General features: G+C 40.0%; 1 long non-coding RNA gene across 1 annotated transcript; it reads left to right on the forward strand.

The window, feature by feature from the left end:
- Positions 1 to 1,244: 1,244 nt before the first annotated feature.
- On the forward strand, positions 1,245 to 19,413 carry LOC107985845 (uncharacterized). Its single transcript, XR_001739267.2, has 3 exons — positions 1,245 to 1,407; positions 8,021 to 8,123; positions 18,989 to 19,413. It is a non-coding gene; the product is annotated as an uncharacterized LOC107985845 (long non-coding RNA).
- Positions 19,414 to 21,594: the final 2,181 nt, after the last annotated feature.

The following is a 21,594-nucleotide window of genomic DNA, read 5'->3' on the forward strand; positions in this document are numbered from 1 at the left end:
TCAACACATGGAAGGTGGGCTTGCTGGGCAGTGCCCCCTGGTCTCAGCTGGAGGAACCAGTCTCCCCCATGGTGTGTGTCATCCACCAACAGGATGTCCCAGGCTTGGTTTCATGCTGACGGTGATTTATCAACACTGTAAGCAGAACCGTGAAAGGTGTCTTGAGGCCAGGTGCAGGAGCAACACAGTGTCCCCTCAGCTGCATTGTCTTGGTCAAAACTAGCCACGAGGCCAGCCCAGATTGGAAATATGAGAAGGAGAAGCAACTTCTTGATGGCAAGACCTGCAAAGTCACATTGCAGCGGGCATGGATACCCTCAGAGGATTCAAAAATTGTGGCTGCTTTTGAAATCAATCCACTACATTCATTAAATATAATATGTATATCAAAGGATCACAGAATAAAATAAATTTAAATTGGATGAATACTGTCGCTGGAAAGAAGATAATATTTTGGAGAAGACAGACAGTCTTGAATCTGCCATGGCTCATAACAGAACCTGGGAAAATTTAAGGAATGAAAACAAAGGTGATTAGTGAAGGGTCAACACACTCATGGATTTATTACATCATCTGGCACTAGGAAGTCCTTCAGTTTCCACACTGAGCACGTGGATGGGCAATGAGTATTTAATAGTCTATATTTCTAGGTGGAACAGTCTTAAACCTTTATTAAACTTTAGTATTTTTATTTGATACCTCCCATCTCCATAGGTGGCTGCAACTCTATTTCATAGAACATAAACAAATTCCTTCTTACAGTGCTGTATTAGTCAGGATCATTTAGTGCTTCTTACTTCTTACAGTGCTGTATTAGTCAGGATTATTTAGTCTATGCTGTGGTAACAAATAACCCCACAGGTCTTAATGTGGGAATATAATAGAAGATTTTGTTTCTCATGCTAAGTCCAAAGCAGGCCAGATGGCCCTCCTCTGTCTTGTAGCCATGCCTCCTGGCCTCCACAGTGCCAAAACAGTGAAAGAGCAAAGTAGAAGAAACTACAAGATGAAGGGGAACAAAAACAAAAGGTGTGTATAGCCAGGTGCAGTGGCAGGGAACTATAGCCCCGGCTGCTTGGGAAGCTGAGGTAGGAGGACTTCTTGAACCCAAGTCCAGCCTGGGCGACATAGCCAGGCCCCATCTCTAAAAATAATAAAATTAAAATAAATATTATGACAGACCAGGTCCTCTAGTACTTATTGTAATTTTTTTTCTTATTTCCTGTGTCTGTGTCCTTGAAAGACATGGAATGTCAGGGTAACCCATTTCTCTTACCTCTGCCATATTTGAAGCAGGTATTGAAGAGAAGAAAGAGGAGAACTTGTCCATAGCCCTCCTGTCTGTGGCAATGCTCCTACCCAGGAGCTGGAGCATGGAGGGCACTGGGCACAGGAGAGACAAGCCAGGTGAGTTGCCTACTTAGGAAACAAGTTCCATTTCCAATGCCCTCTTCCCTCCTCTACCCCACCCCACTCTTAATCCCAGGTCTCATGCCAGCTACCTGGGGCATAAGGACAGAACCACTATCAATCATGACATTTTTGCATGCAAAAAAATATTGTTTTCAGTGTCACCCCATTAGTTCAAGTTCAGCTGCTTCTAACCTCTACCATCAGCTACTGCCCAATCTTTGGTAAGGGTGAACAAGGGAAGGACTGAGCAATATGGCAAATGTAGCATAAAACTGTCCAATCCCCTGTGTCTGCTCTTCCACCTGCTGTGATCCTAGCAAACACCGCATGGGGGTACAGCAGGTCTTTTATTCATCCACTAAAGGTGCTACCTTATTTCTGAACTTAAAACCATAAAACAAACATGTGCTAACATGTGTTAGCATATTTGGTCCTTGGGGTAACACTACAAAGCACGTTCCTAATCCCCACTGCACAGATGCAATAGCTGGGCCTCTGGGATGTGCCAGCACTGGGATTCTGAGCATACCCTCCTGATAGTGTCCTTTCTGTCAGGACATTTACATGATGGGAGCTAATAGTGAAGTTCTAAATGCTACGAAACAATGAAGGTGGCTTCTGGAATCCTTTCTTTCCTCCAGACTTCACATGTCTTTGCACACATTGCATGACATAACCCTTGGGTGATGAGAAGGCTCTGCTGAGTTCATTGCCATTTGCCTGAATTGGGCCTAATTCTCCATTCAGTCCAGAAGACACCGATTTGCAGGAACACAATCTCCTCCAGGACATCCTCCCCACTTGATTACCTCCGGGCAGTGACTAGGTCCAAAATTAGTGTGCAGGCCAAGTGACTCATGCCTGCGGTATTCATGACAGTGAGAATTGATGTGTGCAAGGCAAGAACAAGATTTATGGATCTCCTTACTCCTATGATTTACTGAAAGCTGGCTTTTATTACCTAAAAGCCAGCCACAGACATGTGCTGGGTGCGCTGGGATATATGCCTGGGGTGCAGCTCTGTGGGCGGCTGCCAGGAACAAGAAGGAGGAAAGGGGAAAAAAATAGAGAAATAATTTTACAGATGAGACACTTGTCGAAAATGCAGAGCCTACAGTGCTCCAGGAACAGCTGGCGATGATGAGCTAAGAAGAAAAGGCACCATTTGCAGGCAGTGGACAGCTGCAGGCCCTGCCACACCAGCTACTGAGTGGGCAAGACTGATTTATGGAAGGGCCGATAATGGCAAAGAAATAAAGATTGATTTGCTCTAGAGGATGTTTCGAGAGTTGTGGGGCAATGGAGAGAAAGCGGAGAGGGAGACTGTGGATCCTGACAAAAGCTTCATCTGAAAATGCACACAGGACTGAAGCGAAGAGAAGGAAATGAAAAGCAATCTGTTATTATGCAAATAGTCATCATATCTCATGGGTGTGGATATACTACCAGGAACTGGGATGCTGACACGCCCAACAAGCACAGGTACAGCTGTGCTAACCCTGGCTTCTGGCCCTGGTCTCCTCACCAGTTCTTGTTTGCTGAGTTCCTTCTCTGTGCCCAGCCCTGTAACTTCTGGGAGATAGGAAAGATGTAAGATGTGTCCAGAGAAATAACTTATGCAACACTAACAAGCAGTAAAATAAGCCTAAGGTACAAGGCGTCCCACCCGCCTGCCTGCCTGCCCTCGGTGTTTAATACCTACTCATCTTTGTGGTTCTAGCTCAATGAACATCTCCTTGGGGAAACATCAAAAGACCGTGGCAAGGTCTCATCCCACCTAATACACTTTCATAACAACGTGTATTGTTCCTTAAACAAATAACGGGATTGTTAATTCACATGGATTGCTCTGTTGTTTGTTCCTTTACTGTCTGCCCCACCACCAACACACACTTACCCTAAGCTTATTTAGAGCAAAGCCATCAAATCCACAGTGGCTTGTACGTGGTAGATGCTTAATAAATATCTGTTGAATGGTCTGCTCTATTCAGTCATTCATTCAGTGAAATATATTTACTAAATGGCTGCCACGTGCTGGATGCTGACATAAAAATACACTTGAGGGGTGATGTGCACTGCAGAGAAATAGCACAATGGGAGGTAAAGGGAGACGCGAATGGCTATTTTAATTCGAGGATCCAGGGAATGCCTGTGACGTTTTAGCTGAGATTGTATAAGAAGAGCCAGATGCTGAAATATCGGAAGGAATACTCCTGGCAGTGAGAAGGGGAAGCAAAACACCCTACGTAGGAGCAATCTGTATGTGTTTGAGAGATGGAAGAAAATACAGTACAGCCAGAACCACGTTTGTCCACTCGTTCATTTGTTTGTTCATTCATCTCTTCATTCACTCACTGGCCCATTCACTCTTTCATTTGACAACATTAGGCCCTATACTCTGTGCTCAGAAGAAACACACCCAGAATGTAGCCTGCTGTTGAGATGCTGGCAGCTTCATGCAGTAGCTCAGGGAGGTCTGGGAGAGCAGAGATACTAGGAAGATTAACATGGTGCAAGTGAGCTTGACTGGGAAGAAAAAGACGAAACCAGGCTGGCCAAAGGACACTTCTGTAGGGCAGGGGTTCTCAAGGTGATGTTTGCAGAATCTTTGGCAACCATGAGACATGTTAAAATTATTTTCATAATATCTTCATATGTTATGTCTTTTTCACACTATTGAGGTTTGCACCGGTGGTTTCAAAGCAATGGTGACCAAAACTGTTGGCACGTTAGGACCAATCAAGGCATTTGAAACAAACTGTCGACTGAAAAATAGTAGCAGGAAAAAACACATCAATTTCATTTAAGAATGTACTTTACTCGGTAAAATTATTAATCGTATTCAATTAAATCATCGATTTCACATCTTCTAAATATTCTGTATGATGAAATAAGGAGGACTTGTAAAGCACTTCTGCTATGGATTGAGATACAATGGTTCCTCAAGGAAATCATTTATGTGATTGAGTTGCAAGCTGAACTAGCTAATTCTTTCACGGAACACCACATTTAGTTGAAAGATCCTTGGACAGCAATCTTTGATCACTCAGACTTGTATGGCAGACATATTTCTAAAAATGAACAGCATGCACCTGTCACTTCAAGAAAACTGATTGGAAATTTTTCTTGCCAATTACAAAATTAAAGCTTGCAAGAAAAAATTAGAATTTTGAAAAATCCAAATCTGCCACTGTGATCCAGACAGCTTCCCAATAAATTAACACTTTGCTGATGAAATTGATACTGATATTAGTAAATGCAATTTTTTTCATATAATAAAATGTGTTAACATTTACAAGAGCTGGGTAACGCAAATGAGCCAAGAGTTTTTCAAATGACCAGTGCATAATGTTACAAGACATTGCATAGGTAAAATACACATTCAAACTGTAAGATAGACCAATGGATTTTAACGTGCAATAGTATGAACATTTGTGTAAAGTTAAAATTTCCACAACAGGCTGCAAAGACTATTAAATTATTTTCATTTTCTCCAGCTACCTATCTGCATTAGGGCAAATTTTCTTAGTATACCTTAATCGAAGCAACATATTGGAACAGATTGAATGCAAAAGCAAGTGTGAGAACCTTGCTGTCTTCTATGAAGTAAGACATTTGCAGTAAATAAAACAATGACATTCTCCTTGCTAATTTTGTCTTGAGAAACTTTTTTTTTAAATGTCACATAGTAACAGGTAATGGATTTAGGGTTGTTATTTTTAAATAAAATTAATACATTTTTAAACAAAAACATCTCCATTTTAATTTCTTGAATTGTAAATTTTGATTGATGTAATCCACACAAGCTAAATGCAAGTGATTCCTGAGATCAGAATGCTTGAGAACGACTGCTATAGGTTAGAGTGAGAGAAAAAATTGGAGCTGGATGAGGCTAAAAGTATATGAAATTTCTAATTGGCTATGTAGGTGAATCTGATGATGAATGTCACTCCCAGTGTTATCAATATAGGTTTAAAAATAATGTCTATTCTAAAGATAACCAATTATCATCAGATATATCTAATATGAAAAATGTTCTACCAACATATATAACATTTATTATTTTACTAAAAATATATCTATATGCCAGGCCCTGCCCTAAGCGACATATATGTAGAAATGTGCTTAATTCTGAAATCGGTCCTTTGAGATATTGATATGGTTTGGCTGTGTCTCCACACAAATCTCATAGTGAATTGTAGCTCCTATAATCCCCACATGTCATGGGAGGAACCCAGTGGGAAGTAATTGAATCATGGGGGCAGGTTTTTCCCATGCTGTTCTCATGATTGTGAATAAATCTCATGAGATCTGATGGTTTCGTAAATGAGAGTTCCCCTGTAAATGTTCTCTTGCCTGCCACCATGTAAGAGGTGCCTTTGCTACTCCTTCACCTTCCACCATGATTGAAGGCCTCCCCAGCCATGTGGAACTGTGAGTGCATTAAACCTCTCTTTCTTTATAAATTACCCAGTCTCAGGTATTTCTTCATAGCAGTGTGAAAACAGACTAATACAGGTACATCTTGTTATCCTCATTTTTCAGATGAGGAATTTAAAGTAAAAAGAGCCAAGTAATGTTCCCAAGGAAAATGCATGTTATTAGTAAAAGGCAACTGAGGCAGTGGACTCCAGAATTTGTATCAATATGGCATATTTTTGACTTATTTTCTTTTTTACAAAGTGCAATTTTGGTGAACAGGTTGAAATTCGGGGTTACAGGCTATGCAGCCAGACTGCTGATGCTGAAAGGCTGATTTGCTCTGATCCCTGAGACTCCCACGTGCTCTTAGTTCACTGTTCATTGTATGCACTCCATTGCTCACACACACATGCTGGAAAGGAGAGGAATTTTCCTCTTTTTTGTTAAAACATTAAATGCATATATTTGTTGCTTGTGACCTATTAGATATTTTACTCTAAGTGAACATAATTTTCTTCTCTAGGACACATCAGAATTTTCCTTTCAATCTCATTATGCTTTAGTCTCTTGACTGATGAGCAGCTAACATATTTAACAGTAATAGAGTCATGGCATCTGCAGAAGGGAATAGAGAGGAGGTAGCCAGTCCTCAGATCTGGCTGTCTACTGCCTAGAATCACTCAGTGTTTGAACCGCTGGCCAATTACCCCTGCTCCTCCTGCCCTCTCAGCCCCAGTACCTCCCATATGGCTTTGATTTAGAGGCACTCAATTTATCAAAACAGTTTGTTATGTTAAAAAACTATTTGATGTCAAAGAAGCCATATGACCCTTTTTATGTGTACTTTTCCTGGAATAAGAAATCAATTTGCTCATTTTAAACAAAGTTGGGCCCTAAAGACACTTGAGTCAGTGCTACATTCATAAGGCAACAAGAAAAGATGTATCGGCAAAACATATTCCCCCTTTCACAGCCTCGCGGGGTGTAAGGAATGGAGGGACCCTCTTGAAAGAGCTCTTCTCCACAGGGGGCATTATCACTCCTCAGTCCACCTCAGGATCCGCTGGGCTTGACTCAGCAGAGTGCTGATGTCACACCCAGGAATATGAGTTCTTACAGGTACACCTGGTGATTCTGGTGCAAGTCTTTACATCATGATTTCAGAAGATTTTTCCCCTTTGGCATTCTCTCTGCTAAGAATAATGTTCACTTAATGATCTGACTATCCATCTCTTCCCACCCCACCCCTTAAATGTGAATTTTGTGCAGGATTCTTTGCTCTGCAGATCCACCTTCTTACTGTTTGTCAAATGCACACTTATGCTTTCCCACTGCAGAGCTCCAACTGGGGTTCCTTCTAAAAATCCGACTTGGTTACTGACGTGCTTATTTCCCCCAGGAGCCCTTTGTAGCGAATTGTGTGGGTTTCTCCTCACCTGACATGTTGCAGCCATGTATTGTGAAGAATGAGTCCAGCTCCGGCGTAGAGCCATATTTGGTGAGAGATGACCCTGGTAATTTTCATCCCCCTTTTTCAGACAGGGTCTCAGGAACCAGGACTAAACCCATGCATGGACAGCATTCTTCAGGCCATCTGGATAATGTGCACATAATGGATCATGGAAAATCCACAAGAGAGTCGCAGAGAAATACAACTGGGGCCCCTGAGTTGAGCCAACTGCTGTAGTTATCTTACCCCTCCACTTCCGATTATTTGGGACAATCAGTTGCTTATGTTTAAGCTGTTAAACTGAATTCCCTGTTCGGATTAAATTTTCTGTTAGTTTTGGAAGCATCAGAAAGAAACAGACAACAATAAATATTCAAACAAAAGCTTCCGTTGTTGCTCTTTATGTGGACTCCTCCTAGAAAGAGCCTAGGAAACACAAGCACCTGCCATGGGCTGGGCTCTATGATGAGTACAATCTCCATGAAACAGAGTAATCCTTCTGAAGTTTGTGTTTCATTCTTCTTTTTAAAACCTCCATACCTGCTGTGAACTAAACATCTGTGTCGTCTCAAAATTCATATGCTGAAAACTCTAAGCCCTAATAAGATGGCTTTAGAAGGTGTGGCCTTTGGGAGGTGATTAGGTCATGAGGGTAGAGCCCCCATAATGGAATAAGTACCCTTTAAGAAGAGACAGGAGAGACCTCACTATCTTTCTTTCCATTTTTTGTCATAGGAGAATACAGCAAGAAGGCCACCATGTGCAAACCAGGAAGAAAGCCTTCTCTAACAGCCTGGCCACTCAGCACCCTGATCTTGAACTTCCAGCCTCCCAAACCGTAAGAAATCAATGCTCCTTGTTTAAAGCACCCAGTGTGTGGTAGTCTGTTACAGCAGCCTGAGTATGCTGGGATAACAGCCTTAACACTTCAAGTAGACACCTCAATTATTCATAAACCTTGGCTCATAGGACAATATCACCTCCCAGCAATAATCTGCTTTCTTTTTCCTCTCATCTGTTATTACTATTTAGTTTTACCCTCATCATCATTCCCTCTTTCACCCTGCCGTCTCCATGAAAAACTCTCAGTCCTGAGTTTCTTATGTCTTCCAGCTTGCAGGCTACTATATTCTGAGGAATTCCATTTTCCCATATACACCTGCAGAGATCCAGTTGGCTAAATTTTGCCAACCTTTGAGGGGTAAAAAATGTTGTTTCAATTTGCATTTCCATGATTGCAAGTGACCTTATGCAGATCTCCGCACACTGCGGGCTGTTTGTTTTCCTCCTCTGTGCATCCTCATTCATACACTTTGTTCAGTTTCCATGGGGTTTTCAGAACTTGGCTTGGTGCTTTGAAAAAGTCTCTTTGATACTTGAGATAGAGCTCCCTGTTTGTTTAGGCAATATAAATATACTCATTCCCTGTTCACTTTATCTTTATTAAACAAAAGTTATTTTTTAATGTGGTCATAGCCATAGAGTCCCTGTAAAGTTTAATATATTTCAAGTCAAGTTTAAGAAATCCTTCTTTACCTTGTGATCATAGAAATTGTCTAGTCATTTTTTTTATTTTGTTTTCCAGTTGTATCTTTCAATTCAAGCATTTAATCTATTTGGAGTTTATGTTAACAAAGGACATGAAGAAGGAAGCCAGCTTTACTTTTCTTCATGTGGCTAACCAATGTTTTTAACAGCAGTTTACTGAATAATTGATTGCTTTGCCAGCTAATTGTGGTGCTACATATAGAATATTTCAGTGTTTGCTATATTGTAATCTATTGTTCTCTTCTTGTGCAAAATCACGCTGCTGTTTATTTGTCACTTTATTTGTACTAAACTAAAGTTCTGTAGATTCCTTAGTAATTAGCAAGCTGGTTCCCCTACCTTTCTTTTCTTTTTCAATCTACTTGTTCTTTTATTTACATTTTAGAATTCACTCATCAAATTTCTTAATATCTTGATGGGATCTTGAAGAAAATTATATTGAATTTAGATATTAATTTCGGAATAATTTACATTCTTAAAATAGCATATAATCGTACACTTGAAAATAGTATTTCTATACTCCTTTTTTATCCTTTAATATATTTTCAAAATTTTTCTACTAAGATCTTGTTTATTATTTGTTAATATTCATTTATTTATTATTTTTTACTTTTTTGAGAGGAGTCTCGCTCTGTCTCCCAGGCTGGAGTGCATTGGCACGATCTCAGCTCACTGCAACCTCTGCCTCCCAGGTTCCAGCGATTCTCCTACCTCAGCCCCCGAAGCCGCTAGGATTACACGCATGTGCCACCATGCCAGCTTTAGATGTTTTATACATTTTGCTGCTATTACACATGGGCTGATGTTTCATGTTATATTTTCTGGTCAATTATTACCAGTAAAGAGACATGCTTTTGCATTTTGTATACTGACCTTATGTAAGTCAAAACTGCTAAACACACTTATACTTTCTAAACATATTTGTATTTATTGGATCAGGTTTCCTATACAAATAATTGTATCATCTGTAAATAATAATTTGTTTTTCTCTTCCTGTTCAATTACTTTTATTCTCATTAATTTTTCTTGTCTTGTTATTTGGCTTAAACATCCGATATAGTAATTTCCCCTTATCTCTGGTCTCACTTTCGATAGTATCTTTTACCCGTGGTACAATACAACAAAATATTTGAGGGACAAAGGGATAGATAGACACCTCATTCATATAACTTTTAGAACAGTATATTGTTATAATTGTTCTATTATTAGTTTTAGTTAATCTCTTACTGTGCCCAATATACAAATTAGATTTATCATAGGTATGTATGCATATTAGTCTGTTCTTACATTGCTATAAAGAAATACTTAAGTCTGAGTAATTTATAAAGAGACTTAATTGGCTTATAGTTCAACAGGCTGTACAGGAACCATGATGCTGGCGTCTGCTTGGCTTCTGGGAAGGCCCAGGAAGCTTACAATCATGGAAGAAGGCAAAGGGTGCACAAGTGCATCACATGGCAAAAGCAGAAGCAAGAGAGAGTGGGGGAATGTGCCATATGCTTTTAAACAATCAGATCGCATGAGAAATCCTTCGCTGTCACAAGGACAGTACTGAAAGGGTAGTGTTAACCCATTCATGAGAAATCATCCTGAGATCCAATCACCTCCCACCAGGCCCCACCAACACTGGGGATTATAATTCAACAACATGAGATTTGGGTGGGAACACAGATCCAAACCTTATCAGTGTGTGGCACATGCCTGCAGTCCCAGCTACTGGGGAGGCTGAGACACGAGAATGGCTTGAACCCTGAGGCAGAGGTTGCAGTGAGCCAAGACTGCGCCATTGCATTCTAGCCGAGGCAACAGAGTGAGACTCTGTCTCAAAAAATAAAAAAATAAAAAATCAGATAGGGTACCTGCTCCTCAGGATTTCAGAGAAATCATTAGGACTTGGAATGGTATATGCTAATAAAATAAAGCATTATTCACTACTGTTCTCTATATTAGTAATAATCTCTTCTGTTTGAAAAAATGTCAGGAATAATCTTAAAATCATCAGTTAGAGGAGTAGACTATTGCCCACGGACTGCTATTCTCTAAAGAAATCTCAGCCAGGCTCAGCGCCTCACCCCTGTAATCTCAGCACTTTCGGAGGCCAAGGCGGGTGGACCACCTGACCCCAGGAGCTCGAGACCAGCCTGGGCAACATGGTGAAATCCCGTCAGGTGGTGGCGGGCACCTGTAGTCCCAACTACTGAGAAGGCTGAGCCACAAGAATCGCTTGAACCTGGGAGGCAGAGGTTGCAGTGAGCTGAGATCGCGCCACTGCACTCCTGCCTGGGCGACAGAGTGAGACCCTGTCTCAAAAAAAAAAAAAGGAAAAAAAAGAAAAGAAATCCCAGTGAATGTTTGGATATTTTGTAATCAGTTTTTTTTTCTCTATAAGACAAAGAGAATTCCATATCCAAACAACCAATAAGAAGTTTCTATTTTAAATACATATTTTAACTGTGAAAGTTTTGACCAGGTATGTATTTTGGAATTAAAAAAAAATACATAGTTTGCAGATCAAACGAAGAAAAGAATCCTTTCAAAACAATACATTAAGAGCTGTGAAACCAGTGGAGGACAGAAATAAATATTCAGCTGATGTTATTGGTCTCAACGATCCCCACGATTTCTTTTCTTCAATAGTCACTTATGTAAAATGTGCACATTTATGATTTGATAACTAATGAAAGCATGCCAAACCGCACAGATCTCCAGTGATTACCAGCTAGAAGTGTTGGTAATCTACAATCCAGCTTCATTTAAAAAATGGCTTCCTAAAAATTCAAATACAAATCCTAATTGTATGATGCACTTAAAACACTCCTTTTTCTCAGTAAGGGGCAAGAATGAGAAGAAACCCCTAGGGTGACATTGGAAATGATGCTGATATGAGTTTTATATTTTGAAAACATAAAGGAACAGCAATTTGTTGAGGTTTCCTAGAGAAGTTATTTTATACACATACACACATGCAGATATATGTATATGTATGTATATGTATAGTATATAGGTAGTGCATGCATGTATATATACATATTGTATTATGTATATGTGTATGTGTGTGTGTGCATGTCCATGTATCTGTGTTTGTTCTTGAACTGTAAATTGAACTCAGAAAATTGATCCACAGAGTGCCAGGTAGAATTTAAATTCTTCTTTGCTTGTATTTTTTTAATTGCTAAGTAATATGGCTCAATTTTAAGACAGCTTTAAGAATTGATCAAGGGCATGGCATGAAAATTAAAAGAGTTTACACCTGAAATTCGTATATTCCCTCAGGGAGTTAGAAAACATGTATTAAAGAACCTTCTGGTGCACATATTCCAGGACTGCCCTAATGAGCAGGTGAGGAGAGTTAACTCATTGGAAATATTGGTAAGATGCTATTTCTCCATCTTGGCTTTATTCAAAGGAGAATAAACACCCCTCTGGGCTCAGATAAAATAGACAAGAGCTTTATAAAATCACATACCCGGTCCTAGGAAATCCTAATATAACCACACTTTCCTGGAGAAATATAGCTTACAATGAAGAATGTTGCTGATATTACATGTATGAATGGTGAATAAATGGAAAAGACAAACACACAGAGAAACTGTCATTTTCAATACTGCTTCCTGAAAATTCAACTTTTCTCATTTTTCATTTGCACTAACCCTTTCTTTTCTTCCTATCCTCTTTTATTAACTAGCACAGTGCCCCTTAACCTTAGCTGCATAATAAAATCGTCTAAGGAGTTTTTAAAAACACCAACGCAGGACCCCGCTGCAGGTCAAATGCATTGTCATCTCTGGTGTGGCTGCGGAGCAGTGTTTAAAGGCTCCTGGCCATCCCAACAGTGGGGAACCCTAGAGACAGCTCGACCTTGAAGTTTTGCCAGCACCTTTGCAAGGGCAAGCTGAGTGAAACCAGGAGACAGGCCCTCCATAAGGAAAGCATGCCGGCCAGGAAAGCTGAAGGGTTGGGAAGAAAATCTCCACCTGACATACCCTTTTTTTTTTTTTTTTTTTTTGCTGACTCCTCATCCTGTTCAGTAAAGTGAGAATAACCAAGTCTTTAGAGTCCCATCCATAGACAGACACTGGACTAAGTAGAATTCTGTTATTTTCTTGTTGTCTTTTACCTGCTTAAGATCATTTTATCTTATAAAAATTAGAGATACTTTAAAGAATTTATGACTTTTAGAATAATTTATTGGTAATATTAAAAAATTACACCTTTTCAATTATGAATTTTTAGATTACAAAGAAGGTAGACTTCAGTACAAACAAGAGGAGTTCTAAACATTTTTAGTAAAAAATATATTATCTACCAATAGTTTTTACTAATTGAACTTACTGACAGGTTAAAAAAAAGGTACCTTTTTGTTTGTTTTAGTGATTTTGTAATTTTATATTAATTCATCCTGTCACCAAGCACATATCTTGGGTAGAAATGTGTCCAGATAGGAAAAAGGTAAACACTGAAAGATTGCTATTCATTGCATTCAATTCTAATATGAATGTATTGATTTTCATTTACATATGTAAATGTACATATGTAAATATATATAAAATATTATATATTTTATGTGAGTTATTGATACATTACATCATGTTTCAACCCATTTTCCTGAATTTATTCATAGGCCTATCATTTTGTAAAGGCCTTCCTATGGATCTGGAATAGACCTGCTGTATCTCCCTTCGGAAGGAACATCATGAAATGACATAAATCAAATGCCTAATATGAGCTTGAAATTTTTTATAAAAGATCTAATTTGCTATTTGCTATAGCCCTATAAGGTATTATTATTCCCATTTATAGATGATGACAGTGAATCTCGGAATAGATAGGTGACCTCCTAAGCCACATGTCTAGTAAATGCTTAAGAGAACCAGAAACAAACTGGGGGGTGTTTCAGGGGGCTAGATTCTCATAATCGGAGCATCTGTCACTGGAGTGACAGCAGATAGTGAGGTCTTATCACATGGGAGATATTTCAGCTGAGTTTTAACATGTGTGTTTATTCTTGGGAAACAGTTTCTTTCTTTTCCTGCCTGATAAACCTCCTCTCAGTCTTCAAAACCCAGCTCAAAGTCACCTCCTCTGAGAAAGCATTCTTTCTGGACCCCTTCATCTTGCATTAGACAGTATTTTGTCCTCACCTTCTTTGCCCTTTTTATCACATTTCATTGCAGGTGTTGATACTTTCAATTCTCCTACTTGACTGTGCACCTTGTTCTATTCCTAATAGTGTTCAGCATATGGTAAGGTCCTGTATTAGTCAGTGTTTTCCAGAGAACCAACCGTGTGTGTGTGTGTGTGTGTGTGTGTGTGTGTGTGTACATATATAATACATATACAAACACACATGCACGCTCAGAGAAAGAGAGAATAGCTCCTGTGATTATGAAGGGTAGTAAGCTCCAAGTCTGTAAGGTAAGTCAGCAAGTGGGAGACCCAGGAAAGAGGATGGTGTAGGTCCAGTCTGAAGATGCAGGAAGGGCCAATATTTCAGTTTGAGTCTTAGGGCATGAAAAAGCTGATGTACCAGTTTTAAGGCAATCAGGCAGGATGAACTGAGGCAAGGTCAGCATTTTTGTTCTTTTCCAGCCTTCAGCTGATAGGATGAGGCCTGCCCACATTAGGGAGGGCCATCTGATTTACTCAGTCTACTGATTTAAGTCCAGTTTCATCCAAAAACACCCTCAAAGGAATACCCAGAATAACGTTTGACCAAATATCTGGGCACCCTGTGGTCTAGTCAAGTTGATATACAAAATTAACTATCACAGGACCTAAATAACAGTAGTTAATAGAATGAATATTAAGGAATCAGTGTCTTATTAGCAGTTTTTCAGAGACACAGACCAATACAATGTGTATAGACAGAGACAGACAGATTTAATTTAAGGAATTGGCTCATGCAAGGGTAGGGCTAGAAACTCTGACACTTGTAGAACAGGCCCAGAGGTTAGGAATCTGTCAGGATTTGATGTTTCAGTCCTGAATACAAAGGCTTTCTAGAGGCAGAATTTCCTCTTCTTGGGAGACTTCAGTCTTTTCTATTAAGCCTTCAATTGACTGAGTAAGGCCCACCCACATTATGGAGTGGGCCTCATTCAATCAGTTCATACAATTTATACATTATGGAGTGTAATCAGTGGACTTTGGGTGAGCAGATTACCCTTCAATTTATACATTATGGAGGATAACCTGCTTTACTTAAAGTCTACTGGTTTAAGTGATAATAATATCTAAAAAATATCCAAAACAATATCTAGACTGGTGTTTGAGCAGACAACTGGGACCATAGCTCAGCCAACTTGACACATAAAATTAACCGTCATAATCAGTAAAAGATATTGACCTAATTTGGTAATATGCAGATTCTGGAGTTTCACAAACCAGCAAAACTTTAAATAATGTAAACTGCAGAGCTATCTAATGTAGCTTGATACATATAAGCATAAAACCACTTATAGGATTCAATTAAAAATGCAGTTTTAATGCCAAAAAAGTGAAAAGACTTAATATCAGAATAAAAGATATTTGAAATTTATGAATTTCAGAAACATACAACAGTGCTTATTTTAAACCAGTGCCAGTTTGTGAACTGCATGTCAGTACATTTCTGTCCCAGATTCTGTGATTCTCTGAACAAGGACTAATTCTAAGTAGGCAAAAAATATATTTCCCCTATTATCCTTTTCTCTGTTCTTGTTATACTCTTTCCTCCCCGGTAATGCTTTTTTTTTTTTTTCTCTTCTCCCCACTCTTTCTACCATGGCTTGTGGCTTCTACAATTTTTTCACTGAAGCCATACCCCTTGCAAGGCTTTTGTTGGCAAATAACAATAAAACCAACTCAAGTGGGCTTGTCCTATAATAAACGGCATGCCATGAAATCTAGAAGGAAGGTGAATTTCAAGATTAACTTGATCAAGTAACTGGCTTAAGATTTTCTTTGAGGGTCCCTCGGAGCATGTTAGCTTCCTCTTTAGGCTGCTAACAGGAGAGCTGAAGTCATCCTTAGCCTTGCATTCACATAGGACAACACCAGGAGGAATTAAGAAGGCGTTACTCCCGGGAGTTCTTAACAATATAAAGAAAACCTCTCCGGAAGCAGCCAGAAAAATCTCTAACTCATGTCATGGGCCTGAATTGGGTCTCATGCTTGTTCCTGTCACTAATTAGAGAAGCGGAATTCCTCTTAAATCAATCATGCTGACTTTTGGAACTGAGGGAGTATTTTCAACTTTACTTGGGACATATGGGATCTTCCAAAAATGAAGGGATGCTAAAAGCAAATCAAGACTTTGTTTGGAAAAAAAGGAGGAGGAGGTAGTTCCTGCATCAGTAGCCAGTAGTGTCTATGAGGGTCTAGTAATTATCCAGCATTCACAAATGCACCACTCTCCATGCCCTCTCATTCAAACACGCTCACACTTATTTAAGCATTCACAAATGCACCACTCTCCATGCCCTCTCATTCAAACACGCTCACACTTATAAAAAAATGCACTAAACTCTTTCCAAGAAGATGACATAGTCATATCTAGCTATCACACCTAGTTCCAAGTCTAGGACGTTTCCATGATATGCCTTCTTCTTCATCACGTCCAAACGCCTGGAGACCCCTGATTAACAATAAATTATGTATCTCTGAAACATTCCAAATGAATTGTGAGGGAAGAAAAGAATAGCTGTAAAAACAAACCCGAACTTTCTATTTGGAAAATAGAAGCATGAGAAGTAGCCCACTGAGGCCACGGATCCATTTGTCATTTACAACTGGCTGATTCTGGCAAGAACTTCCTGCCATGTCAGCGGTCTGTGCTGTTGATTTAACCTGGTTAGAGAGCTCTCGGTGAGCTTCCAGGTATAATTTCCCCTTCCCATGGCTTCTTTGGCCTCTCCTTGATGGCAATGAAAGGTATCCCTTTGGGAAACTTTCCCCGCTGACATGGTTCTGTAAGCCTAACAGTTGTCTTGGAGTGGCACCATTGCTTCCTCTTCATAACCGCTTCTGGTTTCCATGGCAGTGATCTCCCTTAAACACCTGGGAGCCTTCCATTTACAAGGCTTTCAGTCAATTCCATGGCTTAGTACAAGAACCAAAGACAACATCTCATCCAGTTTTCGAAGGTGAAGATTTCTGTCTATTAGCAACAGTTCTGTGCACTGCCCATTGCTTGAGCTCTCAATGTGATATTTGCTAATTTCACCCGGGCCTCTGTCTGTAGCCATTTGAACACTCTAGCTTCAAGGGGAAAAGTATGTTCTTTGCACCGAGACTGTATCTCAGGTGCACCATCACAATGAGCATGAGCTTCAGCTTTTTTTAATTATTTTTTTTATTTTAATGGAGAACACAGTTCTTTAAACTGGCAGAGAATAGGAGCAGGAACTGGGGTGAGAAGGAAAGGTGACAGAAGCATCTCTGTTTATATTTTCACCTTGTGATGGTTATTATTTTTTAAATGTTTTCATACTTCTAAAAGCCAGATTTAAAATTCTGAATTGTCATCCACAGCCAAAGATGGAAAATCAAGAGTTATTTTCCCCCTAAGTTTACCTCTTTACACAGGTTCTTATTGGTGATTGCAAGAAGTAGTCAACATACTTTAAAATTCAGATTTTTTTTTCCACCCAAGTCCCTTAATACTAAAGCTTCCATTACCATTACAGACTATAGTTTGGCCAACTGTATTGTGTTGGCATAAGAAAGATTTCCAAAGTCCGTTTCCGAGAAAGAGATTCCTTACTTCCCCTACTTCTTTCACTTAGAATCCACCCCATGTTAGATTCCGTTACCTGCAGCTACTCATTTCCAGGTATCAAACTGTGTAAGTAGCAAGCAGCGGAAAAAGAATATGGATACTTGTTTTGCCAAATACCTAGTGAGAGCAGTGCTCTAGAAAATACATTTTGGGGCCGAGCATGGTGGCTCAGGCCTGTAATCCCAGCATCTCGGAAGGCCAAGGAAGGCTGATCACCTGAGGTTGGCAGTTTGAGACCAGTCTGGCCAAAACGGTGAAACCTCATCTCTACTAAAAATACAAAAATTAGCCAGGCATGGTGGCGTGCACCTGTAATCCCAGCTACTCAGGAGGCTGAGACAGGAGAATTGCTTAAACCTGGGAGGCGGAGGTTGCTGTGAGCTGAGATCACGCCACTGCACTCAAGCCCGGGAGACAGAGTGAGACTCCATCTCAAAATAAAATAAAATAAAATACATTTTAGGAACACCACTTATGCAAAAAGAAGCAAATCACATAGGGATTTCCTTAGAAGTGATATGAGGTGATAGCCCAGAACACCACATATTTTTAATGAAAGCATCTATGCATCCATATAATTAACACCAAGATTTCCTTTTAAAATGACTGAAGTAGGTTGGGTATTAAAATAAGGAAAATAATATAAGGAATATAATAATAAGGAAATAAATTTTCTGTCACAAATATCTATAGCTCATCGGTACAGAGATTAAAAATTTGGACAGGATAAACACTAGATGTTTGGGCCAGGCACGGTGGCTCAAGCTGGTAATCCCAGTGCTTTGGGAGGCAGAGGTGGGCAGTTCACAAGGTCAGGAGTTCAAGACCAGCCTGGCCAACATGGTGAAACCGCGTCTCTACTAAATATACAACAAAATTAGCCAGGCGTGGTGGCAGGCGCCTGTAATCCCAGCTACTCGGGAGGCTGAGGCAGGTGAATCGCTTGAACCCGGGAGGCTCTCAGCAGTGAGCTGAGATCACGTCACCGTACTCCAGAACGGACAACAGAGCGAGACTCTGTCTCAAAACAACAACAACAACAACAAACACTAGATGTTCGAAGCATTGTTAAAATGTTTATCGTAAAGGGCTGCCTTCCATTTGTCAACATAAATATCTCCTTTGTTAAGATTTGTTTTCAAATGTCAGAACCTAAATTTACCCAGTTATTCTAAAACCAATCTTTTGACATATTTTCTCTTTTGATTGTTTTAAAGATATTATAATAGCCAATTTATAGATTTAACTTTAAAAATCCTGTATGTATATTAGCACCTTTCTGCAATGATTTAATGGCTACTTGGACACTTTAACTTTCATTAATAAAATTAGGTGTGTTTTATTTAAAATATGCCATGAATAACTTTTTCTTGTGTTTATTTCCTCAATTCTTGTAGGTCTTCCAGTGTGGCATGGCTATGACGCTTGTAGCTTACTCAATGTCCCTAAATATCCCCCAAAATATGGGAACCTGAGAGTGTTCTTCGTAGAATTCATGAATCTCCCCTGGAATTTTATTCCACAGATTCAGTTTTGAGACTTTTTATCCTTTTGATTTGATTGCTCCTGGAGCCCTACCCTGAGCTCTGAGTGAATGTATTTATCTTAGTTTGTCTAGAAAGGCACTCTGGAATCTGCAGTGGGAACTTGATGATAGATGGATCATTGAAACTGGCTTTTAAAAGTGACATTTTGGTTAAAAGTCATCTCAAAAAAGAAAAACAGCTTTTAGAAAGTGTATATTCAATAAAATTCCAGAAGCCGGCCCTGGTGGGCTGTCCCTGAATCTGGCTCTGGCAGTGGGTTTGAAATTCTCCAGCCTAGTTGAGAGCACAGTGTCTTCCCAGAGCACAGAGGCCAGGCTCTGCTCAGGAATCCCACCCCCAAGACAGAGGAAAGCACTCCCAAGGCCACGCGCAAGGTTTGCATCTGAATTATAGACCGTTCTTGTGAAGACTCTCTCTGCCGACCCATAATCTTTCCTCCTGAGATGCGAAAAAAGGCTCCACACGGCATCACAAGGATAAACGCACCACAGATACATCAGTTGATTAATTTCAATAAACTTAAGCCTGAAAAGAAGTAGTCGTACTACAGAAGAGAGCTGTTTTTCAGAGTAAAGGCCCTTAAGAACGTGGTGTTACCCTGGTAGCACAGATCTGGATAGGTGAAACATTCGCAAAACTTCCTTTGAAAATATACATATTTAGTTTCAATAATGCATATTAAAACATTATTATATTAAACATTGTGGAATTACCTCAAATGTAATTAATAGACGTTTACGGATTTGGAATGAGCAAGTCATCTGGTAAAATATCTCCTTGATATAGACTCCTGGAGAGACCTAGATGCGTGAGAAGCTATGCCCAGATGTCTGTAAATCAGAATATATGTATAATCCATTAAGCAGATGGGGGAGGGAGATCACAACTTACAGACAGGAACCAAAAAAATGATAGAATAGAATTGATGAAAGGAGAGAATTTAAAGAGATGACAAAGAAGGTGAAATGCAGACAGAAAGGAGAGGAATAAAAATAAAGAGAATAAAAATCAAAGGATAAAGTAAGTTTTCATTAGACTGTGCGCGTCTGAATAGCATCCACTTGTTCCTACTGCTTTGAGAAGTTAATTATCTGACTAAACACTGCTCGCAGATCCTGAAAGGCTCTCTATTCCTCTAACCTTTAAAGACTTTTATGACTAGAATAACCAGAGCAGCTCATAGAAAGAAAATTGTTTTCTGTGCTGTAACATCAATGGCCAGAAATGTGTACACCTGGGGACCAGGTTGGAGGCTGGACCTGGCTTGCAGGTCAGAAGTTCAACACCTCTATCCTCACTCTGCCTTACGAAGGGCTCCTCACGGTAGGTGTGAAGGCAACAATTAGGAACGCACAACCTCAAGGACCACATGTATTGAAAAGAGCCCAAAAGCTGACTCCCTATCTCAAAAAGAGGTATGGCTTTTCTCCAGTGCGTGCATTTGTTTTTAATGTTTAACAAGCTGACAGGAGCGATTAGTCAAAGACTAACGGCCGACTTACTGGTTACTCCAACACAAACAAATCGTCACCAGACTGTCAGGGCCTCGACAGTGTCCATTCTTCTAAAAACGCTTAATGCATTTCTCGCATCTGCAATGACACATGTAAAGCGGGTGACCCTTTCAGATCCCCCACACCCCTCACTCCGAAGGAAAAAAACCACAATTATTTGCTGTGTTTTATGAAAAGGTGGAAGGGAAGATTTTCCTCAAAGGTGGGATGTGGGAAACAAATGAACAAACAAACTCAGGGTGAGTTGAGAATGCCTCATAACCAGGTCACCATCTGCTTTTGTTCCTTAATCAGATAATTGATCTCCCCTGAACCATTTATGCTCCCAGCTAAATTGTCTACAGAGATGCCCATGCCGTCAAGCACGAGGCACTTAGGAGAAGTAAATCTGATTGCAGTCCAAGTTAGGAAACATTCTGGAACACATCACTGGATCAAACTGCAGTCCCTCCTGGGAGGAACACACTTTTCAGAGTGTTGAGTGAAATATAAGGGGAGTTCAAGTCTTCAGTTATTCACCGCAGACCTTCCTTTCAAATCTGGGTGGGTCTTCTTGCAGGATTTGATGCTGAGACAAAAGGGAAAATCAGGCCATTGTGGTTTTTCTATTCATGAGAGTCTAAAGGGACATGTGTACCTTGTCATTTCTGACCAGAATGTGAGAGCTGGCCTGGTTCTGTTCTCACAGGCTCCTGCCTTCCTGTGTCCTAGGCACCCCCACCCCCGGACTCCAACCAGAGTCACCAAGCCCCTCTGCGTGGGATACAGCGTTCTGCCTCTGCAGCTGTCACTGTATGCTCAGATTGTCACACAGTTCAGGACAGATTAAAGGGAGTCACTTTTGACTGGCATATTAGGAGAGGCAGTCGTCATTAGCATACTAAACTAGGTAGCCCTAAACCTGCTGGGTCCCCAGTGAGCCTCCAACACTAGTTCTCCCTC

Source organism: Homo sapiens, chromosome 2 (assembly GCF_000001405.40).
Source record: "Homo sapiens chromosome 2, GRCh38.p14 Primary Assembly".
NCBI classification, from domain to species: Eukaryota; Metazoa; Chordata; class Mammalia; order Primates; family Hominidae; genus Homo; species Homo sapiens.